Source organism: Homo sapiens, chromosome 14, assembly GCF_000001405.40.
Source record: "Homo sapiens chromosome 14, GRCh38.p14 Primary Assembly".
In the NCBI taxonomy this organism is placed as follows: Eukaryota; Metazoa; Chordata; class Mammalia; order Primates; family Hominidae; genus Homo; species Homo sapiens.
In genome coordinates this window covers 75,548,592-75,572,245 of record NC_000014.9, presented here as the reverse complement: position 1 = coordinate 75,572,245, position 23,654 = coordinate 75,548,592, and the positions used below count along the sequence as shown (strand labels likewise).

At 47.3% G+C, this 23,654-nt stretch overlaps 1 long non-coding RNA gene across 1 annotated transcript, besides 3 other annotated features; it reads right to left on the bottom strand.

Moving 5' to 3' along the window:
* Window positions 9,890-9,969: an enhancer, noted in NCBI's record as "active region_8759". NCBI's record gives its function as "activates an Ori minimal core promoter by ATAC-STARR-seq in GM12878 lymphoblastoid cells {active_cell/tissue: GM12878}" and the evidence as "EXISTENCE:reporter gene assay evidence [ECO:0000049][PMID:35858748]".
* Window positions 12,275-12,434: an enhancer, noted in NCBI's record as "active region_8758". NCBI's record gives its function as "activates an Ori minimal core promoter by ATAC-STARR-seq in GM12878 lymphoblastoid cells {active_cell/tissue: GM12878}" and the evidence as "EXISTENCE:reporter gene assay evidence [ECO:0000049][PMID:35858748]".
* On the bottom strand, window positions 12,328-14,075 carry LOC107984653 (uncharacterized). Its single transcript, XR_001750830.1, has 2 exons — window positions 14,040-14,075; window positions 12,328-12,618 (listed from the first exon to the last, which is right to left on the bottom strand). It is a non-coding gene; the product is annotated as an uncharacterized LOC107984653 (long non-coding RNA).
* Window positions 22,839-23,088: an enhancer, noted in NCBI's record as "active region_8757". NCBI's record gives its function as "activates an Ori minimal core promoter by ATAC-STARR-seq in GM12878 lymphoblastoid cells {active_cell/tissue: GM12878}" and the evidence as "EXISTENCE:reporter gene assay evidence [ECO:0000049][PMID:35858748]".

Below are 23,654 nucleotides of genomic sequence, written 5' to 3'. Positions count from 1 at the left end.
ATCTGCCACTAGAGGCAAGCACTCCTCAGCTCTGCACACAAGGTCTTTGTGATGTTGTTCTGGCCACATCTCCCACCACTGTCCACTCCCCACCTTTTGCTCCAGACAGGTGGAGCCACCTGCAGCTCCCCATAAGCGTGCTTCACAATGCAGGGCAAGCGTCCCCTCCTCCAGGAAGCCTTCCCCCATGCCCTAAGTGTGACTCAGAGATTTCTTTCCATCCCTGCATGTGCAGCTTTGTGGTAGCTCCTGTCACACAGTTTCATAAATGTTTGTTTACTTCTTCAAGTTAACGACTCAGTGTGCGCTCCTCAAGCTTAGAAATGATGGCCTATTCATCTTCAAATCCCAACCTCTAGTGTCGCGTCTGGCCCGCAGAAGGAAAATGAAGGCCTGACTGCATTGACTTTTTGGATGCATTTCCTAGATGAGTCCTATTTCTAGGTGGCCTCACAAGAAATAAAAACATGTCCAGCTTGTTCCGGATGCTCATATCTCCTTGGTTGATTGTGTCTTCCTTTCTCTTTTCTGGAATGTGTCCCCTGTGGTGTTTGGGCCCCACTGCCACACCTCACAGAGCCCATGGGTGGGAAAGTTGGGAGGGCATTCCTGTGCCATGGGGGAGTCTAGATTTCTTCTCCTCCAGGGCCCTCCCAGCTCAGAGTCTCCAAGTCTGTCCTAGAAGGGAATGTGCTCAGGGGCTGCTGAGGATTCAGAGAAGAAGAAGATCCATTTTTCTCAGACGAGAGTCTAGAAGAAAGGCCTCCTAGCTGGACATGTAGATGCTGGGCTCTGCCCGGGACACATGGTTTGAAATAGACATTTCAGTTCCCTGGAAGTACATGAGTACATCTGGAAAGGCCTCAGATGGTATCAATCCTCCTCTAAAGACAAGGTCCCTGTACGTGGGTCACATTTTGTATCCTCAGCTGCATGTCCTTGGGTGTGATCATGGGTGGCCACTGTGTTATTCTTCATACCTGTTCTATATTTTAAATGCTTCTTAATAATTAGAAAACCAAAAAAAAAAGTTGCCCCATAAATATGAGAAAGAGCTAACTAAAAAACATGAGTCAAAGAGGAAGGAGACATTAAAATGGCTTGTCTTTTTGCATAATCTATAGAAAGCCCGGAGGTGTGAGGCTCCCTTTTCATAATGGAATAGAGAAACGGGGGTAGCAGCAAGATTTGTTGATTGCCAGGGCAACAGTTAAAGGCACATGGCATGACAAAGCAGAGGGGTGCTGGCTGGGCAGGGTTATGCAATGCTGGAGCCACAGTGACAGAGAAAGGACACACAAAGTCATCTCAGCCAGCCCCTTGATGTACAGGGTATAATACCTGGGCCCAGGGGACTGTCTTAACAGAGTCATTCATTTACCCACCATTGATCTCCTGCAGGCCAGGCACTGTGCTGGGTGTAAAGGAAACAAATTCAACAAAGATGAGGCTCTTGCCCTCCAAGAATCCACAAAGTAGTGGTGAGACAGTTATGTGAGCAGATCATTGCCAGGTGGTACAATAAATGTGTGGTCCATGCTGGTTCATGGGACTCCCAAAGCTTAGAGTCAAGGGGGGCTTCTCAGAGAGATGCTAGGTCGGGATCTTGAGGGATAGATGAGACTTAGCCAGGCCCTGTGGCAGGTGCTGAAGATCCTAGGAGTGAGCAAAACAAACGTGGTCCCTCCCTACCTTCATGGAGCTTACAGTGTCCTTGAGAGGACAAACATCAATCAAACACTTACATACACACATAAGTAAAATTATAAGTGCTATGAGGGTTATTTGTAAGAATTTATATAGATGGAACAGATGAGTGGGATCTTAAGCAATACGTTTTTAAAAAGTTAGACTTATGGCTCATGCTTGTAATCCCAGGACTTTGGGAGACTGAGGGGGCTGGATCACCTGAGGCCAGGAGTTCGAGACCAGCCTGGCCAACATGGTGAAACTCGGTCTCTACTAAAAATACAAAAAAAATTAGCCATGCATGGTGGCAGGTGCCTGTAGTCCCAGCTACTTTGGAGGCTGAGGCAGGAGGATCGCTTGAACCTGGGAGGCAGAGGTTGCAGTGAGCCAAGAGCATGCCACTGCACTCCAGCCTGGGTGACAGAGTGACTCCATCTCAAAAAATAAAAATAAAAATAAAATAAAAGTGAGACTTAACTTGGTGAAAGAGGGGGGAAGGGCTTTCCAGGAAGAGGGAACAGAATGTGCAAGGCCCTGAACCAGGAGGGAGCAGGGCCCTTTTAAGCCACAAAGCCAATGAGGCTGGAGCAGAGTGAGGGTGAGAAGCAAAGCCAACGTGGTTGGAGAGAGAGGCAGCAGCCAGATTGCACGGGCCTTATTGAGGGCTTTTCTGTTTTTGTTTGTTAACTTTATCCTGGGAGCAAAGGGGAGCCGTTGGGAGGTTTTAAGCAGATGAAGGACATTGTCAGATTTGTCTCCTGTACAGACTGCTCCAGCTGGGCTTGTGGCAAATCCAGTTTGGGTGGGGATGGCCCTCTTAGGAGGCTGCTATGGTCACTCAGGTGAGAATGGAATTTGTGAACTGAATGAGGGCAATGGCAAGACAATGGAGAGAAGTGAGCAGGGGTAGATGGGGGTGGACTAGACTGGAATTGCAGGAGGATGGAGAGGGAGGGGTCAGGAGAATGCCCTGCCTGGGTTTCAGATGTGACCAGCTGGGCAGATGGAGCTGCCATCTGGAGGGAGAATCCCAGCTTCGACATTGAGATCTTCCGCAGAGGGAAGCGAGGCTGTCAAGGACAGGTGCCTGTGTACCCGTGCCTCCTGCTCTTCTCTTCCTCCTCATTCCTTTATTCTTCCTTCTACCCCTTCCCTACAGTGACCTCTGTCACCACAAGATCAAGAGGCCAGAGAACCTACTTCCAATTCAGAGTGTGAATTCCCATGAAAATCCAATCATCAAATTCTATGGAAAGTAAGGCGTCCTGAGTTCCTCACCTCATCTTTCACTCCTTGGCATGGTGCCTCCTCAAGGTTACAGGTAGGACACTTGGCTCAGGTTCCCCTGAATTCTGTGAACAGAAGAATTAGAAATAAACAAACAATTCCAAAATAAAACCCAGATAGTTATGGGTTCCCTTTAAGCTTAAGTCAGTAGTTGTGTGAAGTCCCCCTGATGCCATCAGCCTCCCTGGGCCCCGAGTAGTCCCTGAAAGTGTGTTCTAGTGTCTCAGATGAGAAAACCGAAAGTGCTGACTGTACCCCCAGGTTTTTTTTTTCTTTTCACTGCTGAGTTGATTGCAAATGACAGACGCTCAGCTTTCATCAGCCTAAGCTCAGAGATAGTACATCTGAAGAACATCGGCGGCTGGGGGAGGTGAGGTTCTCAGAGACCTCAAGAGGAGTTGGTGGTCAAGTAGCAGAAGAGCAGAGAGAACCAAGGACTGCAACACATTCAGGATGCTCGGCTTCTCCCATGTTCCCTGCAGGCCAGCTTGCATTTTCTCTCTTCCTAAAGGCTAGTTTCTCCATTTGTCAGAAAACATGGCAGCCAGCAGCCCTGGCATTACACCTCATGACAGCTTCAGCTGCCCGAGAGAAGCTGCCCTTTGTGTCTTAAATACAAACTCCCAGATGCCCATTCCCAGCCTCATCAACCATGACCGTGGTGGCAAAGGCCGCATAAGAACAGGGCAGCTCCCCAGGGGGATCCGTATTGGAGTGGAGGAGGGGCAGTTCCCAGAAGGAGAGGGGCAACTAACCAGGCAGATAAACAATCAATGCCTTCCACCCGCCCCAAGTGCCTTTAGAAACAGAGAACCTAACTCCCTACCCTCTCAGTGCTTGAAAGCCCCATCCACCTGAATAAGGCCCATCCCATTGGCCAGAGTAGTGACTCGGGAGCACCACCACCTTAGAGGGCTTCCTGTGTCTGTGCAATTTCTCGTGCACCATAATCGATGTGATTCTGCAGACGACTCTAAAATCCAAAACCCAGCATTGTGTCTTCGCGGTTATTTCTTGCTTTTACAGATCTCTGTATGACAGTTTGCCTTTCTGGTCTTCCTTGAGTTTTTTTTCATTCCTTAACATGCTTCTTAGTCACCAAGGCTCCCAGGAACTCTATCTCCCCAATAGGGTAGTAGAATATGTTTCTGTCTTTCTGACCTCCAAAGTCCTAGGTGGACTGATGTTCCTTGCTTTAGAGCAGGAGTGTATACATAGATGACTTCAGGTGGCATGTGGGCGACAGAGAAGCTGCCAGCAGAGACCATCATACTCACTGTCCAGTCCCCAGCCAGCCCTGCCTGGGGTGGTGGGACACCCAACCAGCACCCACTCCGTTCCTCACTCCCCTTCCCTCCAAACCCGTTTCTGGCTCACACAGGGCGGTCCCTCCTCGACACCCTCACCCACCAGAGTCTCCACTTTGTCACGGGCCTGCCCCCAGCCCTGCTCCCCTTCACTCTTTTTTTTTCTCTTGTTGAGACAGAATCTTGCTCTGTAGCCCAGGCTAGTAGTTAGTCATCCAGGCTCACTGCAGCCTCGCCCTCTCAGGCTCAAGCAATCCTCCCAGCTCAGCCTCCTAAGTAGCTGGGACAACAGGAGCATGTCACCACACCAGGCTAATTTTTATAATATTTTTTGTAGAGATGGGATCTCACTATGTTCCTCAGGCTGGTCTTGAACTCCTGGGCTCAAGGGATCTTCCCGCCTCGGCCTTCCAAAGTGCTTCACTGTTTTTGTTTGTTTGTTTGTTTGTTTTTGAGACGGAGTCTTGCTCTGTCACCCAGGCTGGAGTGCAGTGGCGCAGTCTCGGCTCACTGCAAGCTCCACCTCCCAGGTTCACACCATTCTCCTGCCCCAGCCTCCCGAGTAGCTGGGACTACAGTTGCCCGCCACCACGCCAGGCTAATTTTTTATATTTTTTTTAGTAGGGACTGGGTTTCACCGTGTTAGCCAGGATGGTCTCGATCTCCTGACCTCGTGATCCTCCCGCCTTGCCCTCCCAAAGTGCTGGGATTACAGGCGTGAGCCACCGCGCCCGGCCGTGCTTCACTCTTTAGGGTCCTTTTCTGCGCTGTGGCTCTCGCTGTACCCAACTCCTCAGTACTCCTTCCCTAAACTGCATCCCACTTTTGTTCCCCCACACCTCCTCTGGTTCCCCTGGTTCTGCCCTGAGGCTGTGCCCTCTGTCTCAGTCACATCCTCGCCTCACCTGAACCCCACACGCACCAAAAACACGTCACAATTAGCTCCCTCACCCCACTCTCCACTCCCAGTCTCCCCAGGCCTGGAAGTCCCATGAGATTCCCAGAGTCCTAGGACCTCACCTACTCCCCCTTCCTCCTTCCCTCTGCTCAGCCCCTTGGGACCGGGACTCCCTCACCCAGTGGGCGGCTCCTGCCTTCCTCTCCCTTCAGGCCTCTGCCTTCGACCTCTGCACGCGGCCATTTCTTGGGGGCCAGGTTTGTCCTGCTTGTCACACCTGTCTGTTGGTCTTCCTTAGCTCCTAGTATCCTTTTGAAATGCATGTATTCAAGTCATAAAAATGAGTCCATTTTAAAAGCTGAGTAAAAAATAGTACAGATAGTTTATAGATGCAGCAGAAGCAGTGGTGGTAGCCTGTGGGTGGTGATGCTGAGCTAGAGGAGTGGGTATAACCCCAGACAGAAAACAGTCACTGGGCTCACGCGATGGCAACGGCTGTGTGTCACCTAATGTCATGTGTTAGTATGGCTCAGCTCTGCCTGTGAATCAGATAACCACAACAAACACAAAAGTACTTACATAACCTGTTTCCATCTCTTCACAGTCCTGGTGGCACACAAGCTGGGACTCAGTGTCACCTCTGTGCCTGGGCCCCAATACCAAGCAAGGAGGTGTTTCCCTCTGTGTCCCAGACACGCACATCCTTTAGAAGCTGACATGTTCCCACCCTCTCCATGGCTATTTAAAGCCTGCTCCCTACTGCAGGAAAAAGATAGGCAGAATGAAAGAAGAAAGAAAGGAAGAAAGAAAGACAGAGAGAAAGAGAGAGAAAGGAGGGAAGGAAGGAAGGAAGGAAGGGGAAAGAAGGAAGGAAGACCTGCTCCTGACCAATGTGTTGGGAAAGTTTGGGGGCACCAGAAAGAATTATGGGGTCTTGACATCATGCATTTCCTTCCATCCCCTTTGCCAAAGTTAGTGAGGGATGAGGAGGAGGCAGGATGGGGGTGGGGTGGTGCTGGGGGTGGTGACACCCATTCATTAATTGATTCACTCAACATATTGTTAATTAGCCAGGCATGGTGGTGCATGCCTGTGGTCCTGGCTACTTGGGAGGCTGAGATGGGAGGATCACCTGAGCCTGGAAAGTTGAGGCTGCAGTGAGACATGATCACACCACTGCACTCCAGCCTAAGCAACAGAGCAAAGACCCTGTCTCAAAAATAAACACATAAATGTTAATAAAAACATATTGTTAGCCCTATGTGAAAGTGCTGCTCTAAACACAGGGGAAATAATGGTGAACATCTTGACAAGGTCCTGAGCCTCTTGAAGTTTATAATCCTGTGGAGAAGACAGTCTATGGATAAACAAGTGTCATAATATCATGTGAGGTAGCACAATGAAGAGTGAGATGGTGGTTAGGGAAAAAACATTTGAGCAGAAGGGAGGAAATGGATATCTGGGGCAAGAGTGTTCCGGGCACAGGGAACAGCATGTGCAAAGGCTCTGAGGTAGGAACGTGCTTGGTGTGGCCAGACACAGCGGGGATCCCAGTGTGGTTGGAGCAGAGAGACAGAACAGGGGGCTGGTGGGAGAAGGGCTCAGACAGGTAAGTGGGGGTCAAATCTTGCAGGGCCTTGTGGGCTCTGATTAGGATGTGGACACTGAGTGAGGCCAGAAGCCCTGAAGGAGTTTTAAGCAGAGGAGTGATGTGGCGGACTTGCGCTATAAAGGAATCTCTCTGGCTGCTATGTGGAGTAGACAAAGAGGCAGTTAGGAGGCTGCTGTGGTTTCCTGGCAAAGCCTGGAGGAAAGGTCTGGGGGTGCTGGCAGGTAGGCGGGTAGGGCTGTGCCAGATGATTGCAGTGGGTCACCAGCTGTGAAAAATGGGGGATTCCTTCCGTGAAGTAGGACACAGCACCAGAACTTTTGGAGGTGGTGACGTTAGGAAGAGGTAGGACCATCTTTCTAGTTACTTGGGGACCTCACTAGGCTCCTCAGGCCAGGAGATAGAATCTCCATGCTTCATGCTGGCCACCCTGGGCACATGCTTTTCCTTCTGCCTGGAATGCTCTTCCCTGCCTTCCTCATCTGTTTCACTCTACTCCTCCTTCAAGGCTCAGTTGAAATGTCACTTCCTTCCTGAAATCGGTCACATGTTCTGAGTGTATGTGCTCCTGATGCTTCTTTTGCATGGCACTTACCACAATTGTCATTATTTAATTAGGATAATTAGGGCGCAGTGGTTCACACCTGTAATTCCAGCGCTTTGGGAGGCAGAGGCGGGTGGATCACTTGAGGTCAGGAGTTCGAGACCAGCCTGGCTAACATAGTGAAACCTCATCTTTACTAAAAATACAAAAATTAACTGAGCATGGTGGTGCACGTCTGTAATCCCAGCTGCTCGGGAGGCTGAGGCAGGAGAATTGCTTGAACCCAAGAGGCGGAGGTTGCAGTAAGCCAAGACGGCACCACTGCACTCCAGCCTGGTGACAGAGTGATACTCTGTTTCAATAAATTAAAAAATAAAAATAGAATAATTAGTTCTTTGGTGTTTGTTTCCCCTGGCAGACTGTAGGCTCCATGAGGGCAGGTGCTGGGTCTGCTTTCTTCTTCGCCCCTTGGTTACTCCCTAGCAGAGTGTCTCACACAAGTCAGTGCTCAATACATTTTGTTGAATGAATGAATCAATAAGCAAATGGAATGGACAGCAGGTGCAAGAGAAGCATCAGGGGAGGCAAGCTGATTCCTAAGAGCTGCAAAGGAATAGGGCTCATTTCAACTTAGAATCCAAACCAAGGCACTTGCAGGCACCTGGTGGGTGATAAATACCTTACATCATAGGAACAAAGTTCTAAGAATAGGATTTCAGTCATCAGTCAAGGTATAAAAGAGGTTATTTGTTTTGGGAAAGCAGGCAGAAAGGTTCATATGTCCTGAGGATCATATTCCCTGGCTGCCAGTCATCTCACACAGGTTTGCCTAATCCTGCATTTGCGGCCCTCAGAGGACACGTGGCTACTTTAGCATGAAAGCGTTTATTAAACAGACATTTTTATTTATTTGTTTGCTGTTGAAGCGTTTCAAGCATTTATTAAAGAGGCAGGATCTTGCTCTGTCACCTGTGCTGGAGTGCAGTGGTATCATCATAGCTCACTGCAGCCTTGAACTCCTGAGCTCAAGAAATCCTCCCAATTTAGCCTCCTGAGTAGCTAGGACTATAAGAATGCACCACATACAGCTAATTTTTTTTAACTTTCTTCTTGTAAAGACGGAGTCTCACTATGTTGCCCAGGCTGGTTTCCAATTCCTGAACTCAAAACAATCCAACCACCTTGGCTTCGCAATGTGCTAGGATTACAGGTGTGAGCAACCGCACCTATAATCAGAAGGACATCTTTAGAGTACATCATTTAAAAAATCTATTAAGCTTTCAACCTTTTAAAAAATGTTATCAAGTAATGTACATAACATAAATCTTCATCCAGTTCCCGAACCTCTTTGCATCCTTCGTCTCCACTCCTTCCTGCTCACCATTAATGACACATTGTGTCAGAGTGGACAGATGGAAACGGCCCGAGTCAAAGATTCTGCCTCACGTGGAGTAGGCTTTCTCCTGGGAGTGTGAGGCCCTCCTGGCTCACCACACTGTGGCGACCTGGGAGCTTCTGCACTCCAATCCAATGCCGATGTCCTGGGCCATGCTTGCTACCAGCAGCTCTGTTTCTTGAGTCTTGGGTGACTGCTGTGTTGACTGATGAAGAGTTTTTATCTAAGGGTCTACGAATGGGTTTCAGAATCCTGCAAACCCCTGAAATCATATCATCCAAATTGATTAATACACATGTGTTTTGGCTGGGCATGGTGGATCACACCTGTAATCTCAGCACTTTGGGAGGCTGAAGGGGGTGGATCACCTGAGGTCAAGAGTTTGAGACCAGCCTGACCAACATGGGGAGACCCTGTTTCTACTAAAAATACAAATTAAATTAGCCAGGCGTGGTGGTGCATGCCTGTAATCCCAGCTACTTGGGAAGCTGAGGCAGGAGAATCACTTGAACCTAGGAGGTGGAGGTCGCAGTGGGCTGAGATCACGCCATTGTGCTCCAGCCTGGGCAACAAGAATGAAACTCTGTCTCGAAAAAAAAAAAAAAAGAAAGAAAGAAAGAAAAAAGAAACATGTTTTATAAAGGGAGAGGCGGGGGAGTCCACAGTTTCATCAGATAGTCAAAGCAGCCCAATGACCCCCAGATGAAATAAATCACGGTTTAGATGGATAATCTATACATTTCAGGTTTAAAAATCTACTTCGAGCTTGTCACCTAGTATCTGCCCTGACTATATACACTGTGCTAGGTGCAGATCTGACTGTTGTGTTTATTTCATCACTATGGGTAACTAAAGTGGATTTCCTGACACAAATTATGCAGGACTAGACAGAGACATTACTAGATTAATTGTGGACAGGGTGAGGCACATATTTGGTGAGACCACTTTGCCTTCTAGAGGTGACCCTTTATTCTCCATTTGCAACAAGATTCTGAGAGCCAGGTCTGAATGAAAAATTTTAACCCGTGGCTTCTATGTTCCAGGTGATCTTGGACTTAGGAGAAGAGAGAAGACGCTGAAGGAGGTGTGGAAAGCTCAGGGAGTGGGAATGGCTTTCCTTATCTGCCCATCGATCATGTCCGTGCTTCAGTTGAGACTGAAGTCACTTGGCAGCCACACGTTTTAGACTGAGGTAACTCCCCACTGCCATAAAGGTCAAGAAAGCCACTGTGCTGACACAGGTCCTCCCCTGACAGCCTGTTCCACAGCGACCCTTGAGTCATCATGTCTGGATGACTAGGCTGACAAAAACAAGGTTTCACAGGGTGAGTTGAATTGTGGGGGAGCGGGGCACAGCACAGGGCAGCGGAGTAGGAAGGGCACTGCACTTGGAGTCTGAAGATCAGGGCTGAAGGCCTTGCTCAGTGAGCTTGGGCAACATGTGTTGGTGTTTGGGCTTCACATAAAATTAGACACTATTCACAATAGCAAAGAGACGGAACCCATCTAAGTTCCCATCAGCTATAGACTGAATAAAGAAAATGTGGTACATATACACCATGGAATACTATGCTGCCATAAAAAGGAACAAGATCATGTCCTTTGCAGCAACATGGATGGAGCTGGAGACCATTACCCTGAGCGAACTAACACAGAAATGGAAAAACAAATACTGCATATTCTCACTTGTAAGTGGGAGCTAAGGACACAAAGATAAGACAAACAGACACTGGAGCCTACTCGAGGGTGGAGGGCAGGAAGAGGGTGAAGACTGAAAAACTACCTATCAGGTATTAGGTACTACGTGTATTACCCGGGTGATGAAATAATCTATACACCAAACCCCCGTGACATGCAATTTACCTATGTAACAAGCCTGCACATGTACCCCTGAATCTAAAATAAAAGGAAAAAAGATAGGGCAAAAAGGAAATGAGAGGCTGCTATTAACATGTTACCGGGGAGCTAGCAGGTATTCAATGATTGGGACTGTGCAGGTACAACGTAGTTATCACCCTAAAACAGGATGTAGCCAACATCCTGTTCACGGCTACCCGGAGTTTCACAGTAAAATATCTGCAGAGCTTGTGTTTGGAAACCAGGTTGATGCCCAAATCTGTGCAGATTTGCATTCCTGGTCACTCACCCAAACATCTCTTCAGAGCTATGCCCTAGGATAGAGTGAGGAAGCTGAATGAGGCGCCAGCTTGCATCTAGAGGTCAATTCTCTGTATTCAAGCTTCTGCCCAAACAAGTGATGGTTGGCTGCCATGGTTCAGGACTCTCTCAAGCTGGGAAAGGAGGATGCAGGAGGGAGGGGGAACGGAGGAGAGGGAGGAAAGTTGATCTCTGCAGTTCTCTGTCACTAGGTGGCAGCACCAACCCGGGACCGCTGTCCCAATGGTCCTGGCTGTAATCCTGGAATGTGGGGAGTTCCCCAGGTGCGCTTGCGCTTGCTATATATAGCTCCAACTTTGCAAGCAGCCAAAGAGAGGTTGAGTCCCATCTCCACGTTTAACTGTGTGACCTTGGGCAAACCATTTAGCCTCTTCGGAGTCTTTCTTTATCTGTAAAATGGGGATAATAATCTTTCCTAAAATAATAGAGTGAACAGAAAATGAGATCATAAATGGCAGCCAGTATCATCCCTGCCCCTAGCAAGATGACCCCTCACTCTTTCATACATCACCTTTATTTTGCACTTTTCTTTTCTTTCAAGGGTGCCCCTAATGCTTATTTTAAATGAGCATATGTAGATGAACACTTTGGGGTGGGGGAGTGAGGCGGCAGGAGGAATGGTCCATGGTGTGATTTTTTTTTTAGAACAGACCCAACTTTTTAATCTTCCTTCCCCTCCTTGCACCCATTCTCTTCCTCTTCATTTTCTTTCTTCTATCTTGGGATTTTTATTTACAAATATGTTAATCATCTGCTCTGTGCAAACCTCTGGCGAGGCAGAGACAGGTGGGGAAGAAGAGGGAGAGGCGAGGAGAATTACAAGAACACACTGGAGAGTCCCTCCCTCCAAGACCCCCACAGTCCTGTAGGTGCTAAGCTGATAGCGAGATGGTGCGCACCGGTGCAGTTGAACTGGCTGTTGAAATATTAAAATATGTACATCTGGCTGACTGATAGCCCCTACCCTAGTGCCCCTCCATGCAACAACGCAGACGCATGCCTTCACCCTGCTCCAGCTCCGACCCCATTCTGACTGCCAGTGCCTGGCCTGGATTTTGAATATTGCCTTTTAGCTGATGGGCTGAGCTCCTCATAGAATGGACTGAAGAGGATGGGGAGTGAAGCCTGGAGGCTGAGTTGCAACTCCCAGTGATGGTTTTCAAATTAGAGCCTGGGGTTCCTTCCAGAAGCAGTAATGGGTAGTATCCAGGTTGGGCAATCCAGAGGCTGGTGTGGTTCTGGCTGCATGCCCAGTTTCTGGTGGAGCACAGAACACCCTCAAACCCTCTCAGAAAGCAGTCTACTCCTGTTAGCCCCTGAGAATTAGGATGCAGTGCCCTGCCCCCTCGCCCCCTCTCTGGGAAACCCAGGTACAATGAGTCACCATTTTTTTGGTTTCACAATAGAAGCTTACTCTGGTTGACATCAGCAGTAAATGAATGTATTGGAAGGATGTATGTGGCTCACAGAATTCAAAAGAAGCCCAGAGAACAAGGCCCAGAACAAGGCAGAAGCCAGGACAATTCTCCACCACAGGAATTCTCTCTCTGGCCAGGGCTTCACAGTTAGAGTAGAGGGGCTCCAAACATCTTCTGGGTCTTTTCTTTGCTCTGCTCCAAAGCGAGATTCCCAGTAGTCTGATTGGCCCAGTCTGGGTGTTTGGTTGTATCTTGGCCAGATAAGGCAGAGAAGACACCTTGATTGACAGCTCTACACATAGAAAGGAAATGCAGATGCTTTGTCAGAAGAAGGAGTAATAGAGCCGGGGCGCAGTGGCTCACGCTTATAATACCAGCATTTTGAGAGGCCTAGGCGGGTGGATCACTTGAGGTCAGGAGTTCAAGACCAGCCTGGCCAACATGGTGAAACCCCATCTCTATTAAAGATATAAAAATTAACCAGGCGTGATGGCATGCACCTGTAATCCCAGCCACTCAGGAGGCTGAGGCAGAAGAATCACTTGAACCCGGGAGTTGGAGGTTGCAGTGAGCCGAGATTACTCCACTGCACTCTAGCCTGGGTGACAGAGTGAGACTCCATCTCGAAGAAGGAGAAAGAGGAGGAGGAGGAGGAGAAAGGGGAGGAGGAGGAGGAGAAAGGGGAGGAGGAGGAGGAGGAGAAAGGGGAGGAGGAGGAGGACGAAGAGGAGGAGGAGGAGAAGAAGGAGAAGGAGAAGAAATGGATTCTGGGTAGCAAAAAAAAAAGTGTGTGGGGGTCACTGTAATCAGGTGCATCTCAGCTCTAGGTCACAATTCCGTGACATCTTGCCTTCAGCCCCAGGTTTTAGACCCAGACAGAACTAGATCCCCATTATAGTAGTGCAGTGACCTTCCTGAGGCCACCAGATCATCCCAGTCAGTCCTGCTTCCTGGGCATTTAGGGCTCTTATGGACTTGTTCCCCCACCCCCTGGGGATAAACAATGAGACACAAACCTTTGAGGGAGCCATAGGTAATTTAGTCACAGTCCAAACTCAAAATTCTCAACCTGAAGTAGACAAGGCTTGAGAATATATGAATGAATGAATTATTTATATTTATGATTAATTAATTCATTTATCAAACCTATAAATATCACATATCTGCTCTGCTGGGCACTAGGAATATAGCAGTAAACAAGACACAGATAGTCTCTGCCCTCACTCATGGGTTAGTGAATGGCCTATCTGGACAGCCATTTAACTGTCCACCATGAGTCACCACTGGGGGTTTTGGGCACGATGTAAGTAGATATCTGGTCTCTGTCATCTTCTCTCAATGATTGCTGTGGTTTAAATGTCTCCTCCAAAACTCGTGTTGAAATTTAATTGCCATTGTAACAGAGTTGAGAAGCGGGGCCTTTAAGAAGTGATTCGGTCATGAGGACAGAGCCCTCATGGATTAATGGGTCCCTCGATTAATGTCATTGTCACAGAAGCGGGTTTATCTTTGGAGTGGGTTCCCAATAAAAAAGACGAGTTTGGCTCACTTCCCTTTCTGTCTCATGTGCTTGCTTCCACCTTCCACCCTTCTGCCATGGGATAACACTTGCCAGATGCTGGCGCCATGCTCTTGGATTTCCCAGCCTCCAGAACTATGAGAAATAATTTTTTTTCCCTACAAATTACCCAAGCTGGGCATGGTGATTCACACCTGTAATCCCAGCAACTCAGGAGGCTGAGGCAGGAGGATCACTTGAGGTTAGGAGTTCAACACTAGCCTGGGCAATGTAGTGAAACTTCATCTCTAAAAAAAAAAAAAAAAATTTAATTAGCTGGGTGTGGTGGCATGTGTAGTCCCAGTTACTTGGAAGGCTGAGGAAGGAGGATCCCTTGAGCCCAGGAGTTCGAGGCTGCAGTGAGTTATAATCATGCCACTGCACTCCAGGCTGGGTGACAAAGTGAAACTCTCTCTCTCTGCTCCCTGAATTTCAGCACAGTGCCTCTCAGCCCTCCCAGCTGTGGCTCAAGCAGCCTGGGTGCTCCAGAAAGAATAGGTGGTAAACCTTGATGGCAAACATTTGGTGTTAAGTCTGCAAGGATGCAAAATGCAAGGGCTATAGAAGCATGGCTTCCTCTGCTTAGATTTCAAAGGATGTCATGGATCACCTGGAAGCTCAAGTAGAAATCTGCTTCAGGGGAACGGTCACCTCAGAGAGTCCCCACTAGGGCAATCCCAAGTGAAAATGTGGGGTTGGAGCCACTTCGGTTTGAATGTGCCCTCCAAAACTCATACTGAAATTTAATTGCCATTGAAACAGTGTTGAGAGGCAGGACCTTTAAGAGGTGATTAGCTCATGAGGGCTCCACTCTCATGAATAGATTAACGCCATTATCACAGGAATGAGTTGGTTGTTGCAGGAGTGGGTTCCTGATAAAAAGGTGGAGTTTGGTCTGCTCCCCTCTCTGTCTCATGTGCTCACTTCTGCCTTCCACCCTTCTGCCATGGGATGACCCTGGCCAGATACTGGTGCCATGCTCTTGGACTGGCCAGCCTCCAGAGTTGTGAGAAATAAATTTCATTTCTTTGTAAATTACTGAGTCTGTGGTATTCAATTACAGCAGTACGTAGGTTGTGTTCGTGTTTGTAGGGTGTAGAGGCATGAACCACCAGCAAGGCAGGCCAACCAGCTTCCATTACCATGGAAGCAGGATTTGGAGTAATAGAAAATAGGCGATGAGGGTGGACTGGGGCTAATCTATTTCTACAGGGCCTTGTGCAGGATTCCAACTTGCTTTTACTTTGATCCTGGTCTTTCCCTCTGTCTAATAGGTGACAGCTAGACACAGACTAAAAGCTAGATAACACTGTGACTGAGGAGACACAGTTCCCTGCCCTCGCCTCTTCCAGCCCCACCTGGGACTCTATCCCTAATCTCTACCATCTTCACAAGAATACATGCCTTCCCTTGATTCCTGCTCTTAAAATATCTGATTGATTCTTACTTTTTATATGTTAACTGAATATTTATTTTGTCATTTGTATTCCATCGTCAGAATAATAATTGGCTTGGATTTTACATTCCTAGAAGGCAGGCACTGTGTTCCATCCATCCATCCATTTATTCATTCAGCCAATGAATATTTATTGAATTTCTACTCTGTGGTAGGCTCTTTGCTACTGTGCAAGGAGCTGAGAATACAATGGTGAGCAAAACATTGGCAATCCCTGACATTATAGAATGGATGGTCCAGTCACAGAGACAAATGTTAACCAAATAACCACATAGATAAATGTAAATTTTCAGTCTGTGTTAATGGGTATAAAGGAAGGGCATGAGGTGCTATGAAACTATTTGAAATTGCAGTTCTGATCTAGCCTGGGAATCAAGCAAAATTTCCCCAAGCTGGTATTTGACAAAAGGTAGGAATGAATGAGCTAGAAGGGTAAGAGCATTTCAGTTAGGGCTGAGCAGAATGAGCAAGGCTCTTGGGCTGGAGGGAGCACGCAGAGATTTGGGGAAGGGACAGATGCCAGTGCAGAGGAAAAGAGGGTGATATGAAGTGAGCTGGGGGACAGAGGGTGCAAGGTCTCCAGCGCCCCCACTAAGAATTGAGTCTTCATCATATAATCACCCCGAGTAACTCATAAACCCCAATCACACTGTGCACCAGTAGTCAATGGATAACATTTTATGTGAATAATGCTGACTTCACTTAGAGAAGATGTGCTAATGGTGGTTGGGGTGGAGAGGATTGACGTGGTGCTAATGTGACTCGCAATCTAATTTCACAGCTCCCATGGCCCAGATATGAAGAGCTGATCCCTAGGAATGGGTACCTATGTGTATGGCTGCAAGTTGAAAGATGATTGGCAAAGTTTAGTATCAGTATCTTCACATGCCACAAGATAGAGAAAGAAGATAAGATGCTTTTGGCTGGGTGCAGTGACTCACACCTGCAATCCCAGCACTTTGGGAGGCCAAGGCAGGTGGATCACTTGAGTCCAGGAGTTCAAGACAAGACTGAGCAACATGGTGAAACCCTATCTCTATTGAAAACACACACACACACACACACACACACACACACAAAATTAGCCAGGCATGGTGGCACTCACTGGTAGTCCCAGCTATTCAGGAGGTTGAGGTGGTAGGATTGCTTGAGCCCAGGAGTTTGAGGCTGCAGTGAGCCATGCACTTTAGCTTGGGTGACAGAACAAGACCATGTCTCAAAAAAAAAAAAAAAAAAAGATGCTCTTAACTTTCCACACATGGATGCTGCTATAGCTTGGATGTTTACCCCACCAAACCTCATGTTGAAATTTGATCCCAAACTCAGAGGTGGGATGCTAATGGGAGGAGTTTTGATCATGGGGTAGACCCCTCATGAATAGATTAATGTTCTCCCTGGGGTGGGGGTTGAGTGAGTTCTCACTCTATTAGTTCCCACAAGAGTTGATTGTTAAAAAGAGCCCAGCCCCTTCCATCTTGCTCTTTCTTGCTTCCTCTCTCACTGTGTGATCTCTGCACACACATGCTCCCCTTCACCTCCACCACAAGTGGAAGCACCCTGAGGCCCTCACCGGGTGCCCGATTTTTTCCAGACAGCAGAACCATAGAGCCAAATAAATCTTTTTTATGTATAAATTGCCCAATCTCAGGTATTTTCTTATAGCAACACAAATGGATTGAGAGAGATGCTTTATTGAGAAAATGAAAAGATGAAATTTCATGAATGCTTGTAGGCCTCCAAACTTCAGTGTCTATACTCTATATTTGCCAAGCTTTATTAATTTAAATATATATGTTTTTTAAGCAAAAGAAGAGTACAGCCAATCTTGGGTTTGGATAACACAGAGGTCTTATTTATCTCTGTGATATAACACCTTGTTACAGTCTTTTTTTTTTTTTTTAATAATGTTGGGCACTTCAGTCCTCAGAGGCAGGCCTTAAAAAACAAAATTTATCTCTGACTTTTCTCTACCCTTCTTTCCCTAGTGCAAAGCAGGACCCTAATCTTCCTCCCCTTTTCTGATTGTGGTCATAAGACCCTCACTTCAGAAGCAGTCCTGCTGCATACCCTGAAGGAAGGAATGCTACACAGAGAGGCCAAAAAGAATCTGCACAGACAGGTCTTGCTGGGTTTCTCTGCTTAGCCTGTTAGTATTAGATCATGTGACTCATACTAGATCATGTAATTGGACCCTTTTTGTCCAGCTGCATTTCTACATGATTGTCAATCATGGCTCTCCAATGAAGTCTCCATAAAAAGCTCAAGAGGACATGGTTTGGGGAGTTTCTGAATAGCTGAACACAAGAAGATTCCTGGAGGATGACACACCCAAGGAGGGAATGGAAGCTCTGCACCCCTCCCCCGTACCTCACCCTATGCATCTCATCCGTATCCCTTGCAATATCCTTTATAATAAGCCAGTAAATGTAAGTGTTTCCCTGAGTTCTTTGAGCCATTCTAGCACATTTGTCCAATCCAAAGAGAGGGTCGTGGGAACCTAACTTGAAGCCAGTGGCCAGAAGTTCTGGATGCCTGGACTTGCGACTGGCATCTGAAGTTGGTTGGAGTCTTGTGGGATTGAGCTCTCAACCTGTAGGAGCTGATGCTATCTCCAGGCAGACAGGGTCAGAACTGAATTGGAGGATACTCAGCTGGTGTCTGCTGCAGAACTGATTGCTTGCTCGGTGTATGGGGAAAACTCCCCACATTTGGTCACAGAAGTCATCTGTGTTGATTGCAGAGTGGTGTGAGAGCAGAGGAAAAACACAGTTTGAGTTTTTGCCTCCAAACTCTTTTACTCCTGTATTCCTTATCTTCTATGCACATTAAAAAGCAACAATGCAAAGTACTATATGGAATCAACCCAAGCATCCACCAACAGATGAACAGATAAAATGTGGTACATATACACAATGCGATATTATTTAGCCATAAAAAAGAATGAAATCCTGTCATTTGCAGCAACATAGATGAGCCTGGAGGACATTATGTTAAGTGAAATAAGCCAGACACAGAAAGATAAACACCACATGTTCTCACTCACATGCAGAAGCTAAAGAAGTTGAACTCATAGAAGTAAAGTGTGGAATAGTGGTTACTAGAGGCTGGAAAGGCAGGGCAGAGATGAGGACGACATAATGAGAGGATGGTTAAAGAATACCAAATTACAGCTAAATGAGAGGAATAAGTCCTAGTGTCTTAGCACTGATGGGTGACTACAGTTAACAATAACTTATTGTATGTTTTCAAATAGCTAGAAGAGAGGATTTTGAATGTTCCCAACACAAAGCAAAGCTGGGTGTGGTGGCAGACACCTGTAGTCCCAACTACTCAGGAGACTGAGGCAGGAGAATTACTTGAACCTGTGAAGTGTAGGTTGCAGTGAGCCGAGAGCCAAGATTGCGTCACGGCACTCCAGCCTGGGTGACAAGAGCAAGACTCCATCTCAAAAAAAAAAAAAAAAAAAAAATGAAGAGTCATGGTCCCCACCTGAGAAGATGAGAGGGAGATTCTAGGCAGAGGAAATGATGCATGAGCAAAGGCTTAGAGAGAGGAAAGTGCCAGATACGGTGAAGGACGTGGCTTTTTCAGCCTGGTCAATACACAGGGTTTGTTTCTGAGAAAGGGATGGACAAGCGTGTCAGGGTAGGTTGGTGGCCTGATGGGCTGGTGCCCTAGAAGCAGTAGGGCCAGCTGCAGGGGTGCTCCACCTCTGTACTACTGATGTTTTGAGCTGGATTATTGTTTGTGGGGTGTGCCCTGTGCATTGCAGCATGCTTAGCAACAACATTTCTGGCCTCTTCCCACTAGATGTTACTAGTACCTCTCTCCCAAGCTGTAACAACTAAAAATATCTCCAGACATTGTCAAATATCTTGGGGAATGGGGAGGATCACCCCCAGTTAGGAACCACTGAGCTAGGGGAATTGTTTAAATTCCTTATTTGGTTGTTCCATTGGCTCCTGCATTAGACAGAATTGAGTTAAGCTGCACTTAGAAAACCCAACTCAAGGTGATGTAACCAAATAAACTCTTTTCCACTTTCACTTAGAAGCCGTCTAGAAGTGGGCCAGCTGGAGCTTCTATCATCTTCACACTTCTGCAGTATTACCAGGGACGCAGAATCTCTTCCTCCTTTGTGTACACGGTTGCTTCACCTCTAACACCATATCTGCCTTCCAGACAGAAAGGAGGAGAAAGGCATGTGCCAACTGAGACAGCCCCACCTTTTGAAGAGCTTTCCCATAAAAGTCTTACCTAGCAAATTCTTGCATATCTCTTTGGCCAGAACTGTGCCATATGGCCATCCCAAACATCAAAGGAATCTGGGATATGTAATCTTTTCTCTAGGCATATTGCCATCTTAGACAAAACAAGAGTTCCGTAGTAAGGAAAAATGGAAGAATAGCTTTGGGAGGGCAATTATCAGTCTCAGCTACCCCTCCTAGCCTTGGTTTCTAGGTGTAATGACAAACTCAGCAATCTGTCTACAGGAATCTTCCAGAGGAAGCCAAAGAAACCTCCTGGGTAGCAAAGGTATTTGTGCAAATTTTCCTATTGAAGTCCTCTAAAAGGGGGCTCTTCATCTCTACCTACCAGTAGATTGTTCAAACCAGGATCAGGTTTTTATTTTATCTTCCTATAAGTGATTAAATTAAATCACATATCAGGTGGTTAAAAAACAAGATTTTTCAAGACCAGCCTAACCAATATGGTGAAACACCATCTCCACAAAAAAAAAAAAAAAAAAAAAAAAAAAAAATTATCTGGGCGTGGTGGCGCATGCTTGTAATCCCAGCAACTCAGGAGGCTGAGACAGGAGAATTGCTTGAATCCGGGCGGTGGAGGTTGCAGTGAGCCGAGATCGCACCACTGCACTCCAGCTTGGGCAACAGAGTGGGACTCAGTCAAAAAAAAAAAACACACACACACACACAAACCCACAAGAGTTTTAGAAGGGCTACATCTCTCTTTCCCTCCCATCCCCATCTCCCACTCCTCTGGTATCTACATGAGGCCAATGCAGTCACATGTCATTCCCATGGCAAGAATTCCATTAAATATCTCCTCTGCTCACTTGCTACAAAGCCTAAAATGCTACCATAAAAACTCTTTCCTTTGGGTCAAGTGTTACTTTCTCTAGGCATCTCTCTTTTTTGTTTTAGAGACAGGGTTTTGCATCTCGCTTTGTTGCCCAGGTTGGAGTGCAGTGATGCAATCATAGCTCACTATAGCCTTGAGCTCCTAGGTGTCTCTTAAAATGACAGTCTCCTCTGGCAGAAACGAGTATTAAATCTTTACTACGTTGGTGTTGATCTTAGTTCACTAGCCCTTTCTCCCCCTTGGAATTCCCAAGCAGCTTTGGAGCACTGAACCCGTGGGGAAGAAGGAAGAGAAATAGAGATAGCCTATCTGTCCCCAAGAGAAGTGGGGCATCCAGTAGTCTCACCTCCTTCCCCGTAAAGCCACAACTGTAACATCGGCTGGAGGTATTAATAAACTGCTGGTAAGTTTTGGTCCAGCAGACGGCAACTTCGTGACCTTTGAGTTGACTTTGCCTCCCTTTCTCTCCCCACCCACACTTCTCATCCTGAGGACTGAAGATCTGGCTTTCTCGTAATTTGCTCTGACACTCACTCAGGGAATGACACTGCTAGTAAGAGATAAATGCAGAGGATGGCAGGTGGGGAAACTAACATTCTCCAGGAACCCGCATTTCAATGTGACAGATGTTGACGACGCTGTCTTGTGTCCATTTCTTGCTACACAGGGCCTTCCTGTAGCCTGGGCTTTTCCAGGAGATATTGCTGACCTAGATCAGAGTTGCAAATGGGCAGGTCTCTGCAGTGCCACCTTCAGACCTGGACAAAAGACGTCTCTGCTCTGAACTCCCGACAATGCAGGGACTAGCACTGCCATTCCTCCTGCTACGCTCCTCTTGTTGGGGCAAAAAGTCCTTAGAACTAAGGAGACACCTACCTAGAACCCTGTGTCCCCCTTTAGACTGTGCCCAACATTCCAAGGACACCAGAATCCCCTTAGTAACTGGCCCTGGGCTGGCTTCCAGGAGCTGAAGCCTCTTCCCTGGATACTTCTTCCCGAGTGTGGACCAGACCACTGGTATGTGCATCTCTGGACCCAAGGGATGGGTCCTGTGGGGGTGAATGTGGACGGAATTTGGTCTTCCAGGCTGGCATGTCCGCCGGCATGAACTGGAGGCTGCTGTGGTACAGGAAGAACCAGGGGAGGGCAAGAAAGCGGCAAGCTGCAGTCCGGGTACTGCTTCTTTCTCACTACCTTGTGCTAATATAAAATTTTGAAGTGTCTAAGAATTCTGAGTTCAAACTTGGCCTTTTAGGTTGTGATGAAAGTATCCTTGTCAAGGAAGAAGAAAAGAATGTGTTTTGTTAACAACTTGTAAGCTTGATTTATAATGTTTTAAGTATTTTATTTAGACACATGGGCTGGATGTGGTGGCTCATGCCTGTAATCCCAACATTTTGGGAGGCTGAAATGAGAGGATGGCTTGAGGCCAAGAGTTCAAGATCAGTCTGGGCAATATAATGAGATCCCCTTGCTACAGAAAAATGAAAAAAACAAAAATAAAAAAATAGCTGGGTGTGGTGGCATGCCCCTGTAGTCCCAGCTACTTGGGAGGCTGAGGTGGAAGGATTGCTTGAGCCCAGGAGGTCGAGGCTGCAGTGAGCTATGACAGCAGCTCTGCACTCCAGCCTGGGCCACAGAGTGAGACCTTGTCAGAAAAGAAAGAAAGAAAAGAAGAAAAGAAGAGAGAAAGAGAGAAAGAAAGAAAGAAAGAAAGAAAGAAAGAAAGAAAGCAAAAAGAAAGGAGGAAAGAAAGGAAGAAAGGAATAAGAAAGGAAAAAAAGGAAGGAAGGAAGAAAGAAAGAAAAAAAGAAAGAAGGAAGGGAGGGAGGGAAGGAGGGAGGGAGGAAGGGAAGGAAGGAGGGAGGGAGGGAGGAAGAAAGGGAAGGGAAGAAAAAAAGAATTGAGAGATTTCATGTAGAAATTCTGATTTTGGCTTTTCTTGACAAACTGGAAGACATGGCAAGCCCAGGCCTAAATTCCCACATGGCACCATGGGAGAGAACTGAACGACAGACAGCTGCACACTCTCCTTAGTTTGCCACATTCTCCACCACTCCCAATTGCCCTACATCCAGTGGGTCCCATGCTTTCACAGTGCCTGCCTGGGTAGAAGGCGTTTGAGTGTGGGTCAAGTGGCCCACCAGACTGAGGGAGCCATCCCTGTCATGGGTAGAAGGCTGGGACAGAACCTGGTTGGTGAAACATCCAAGGTTAAAGCTACGGATGTTCAAATTTCTATTCATGGCTGCCTCTCCAATTTGCCTGCATGGACATGAAGTCAGCCTTGGCACCAGCTCCAGGCTCAGCTACCTGCTACCTCTACCGGGCTGACTAGACAGGAGAAGTGGAACTGCCTGGGGTCAGTAGAAAGTAGAGAATGAAAGGGGAAGAGAAGTCCTTGCTGAGAGATGGGAACCGTGCACGTGAACTCTGCTTTTCTAGTTCTGGCCCTGAATGTCATTCAGAAGATGCCGGCAGAAGTCATGTGCCTTCTGTGGGGGTTTCTGGGGAAAATCACAGTGCTAGAGCATGGGTGGAGATGAAAATCTCTGATTCAAAGAAAGCCTGCCCACAAGAGGCCAGGCCCTGGCAGAGATAGTAGCAAAGAAAGCTGGACTCAAAGTTCTACGTCTTTAGATCGTGAAAGAAGGCCAGGTGCAATGGCTCATGCCTGTAATCCCAACACCTTGGGAAGCTGAGGTGGGAGGATCGCTTGAGTGTGGGTAGTCAAGGCTGCAGTGAGCCATGATTGCACCACTGCACTCCAGCCTGGGTGACAGAGTGAGACCGTGTCTCAAAAAAAGAAAAAATAATAATTATGAAAGAAAAATGAATTATATTTTATGACTGCAACATCTGAAGTGAAGATCGGCTTCTTTGCTCTTCTCGTTAACAGAGGGGTGGGAAAGAGCTAGACAGAGCGTTAGCTACCAAAATCCAGGTTCTGAAGGAAATTAAGAAAGCTCCTCCTCATGACACATCTGCCCAGTCCACATGGAGGCTCTGCACTGAAAGGGGAGCCTGTTTTGCCACGTTTCGTTGGGAGACCAAAGGTTACAATGCAAGATTCTGTGCTGGGAGAAATGCCAGCACTCAGGGAACGTCTTCTGGGCTGTCTTCCCAGGCTCTGAATTACGGGGCTCAGCCCAGTGTCCACATCCTAGGCTCCCATGGGCACCAGCTTCTCTGGTGAGAGCCCCAAAGATTG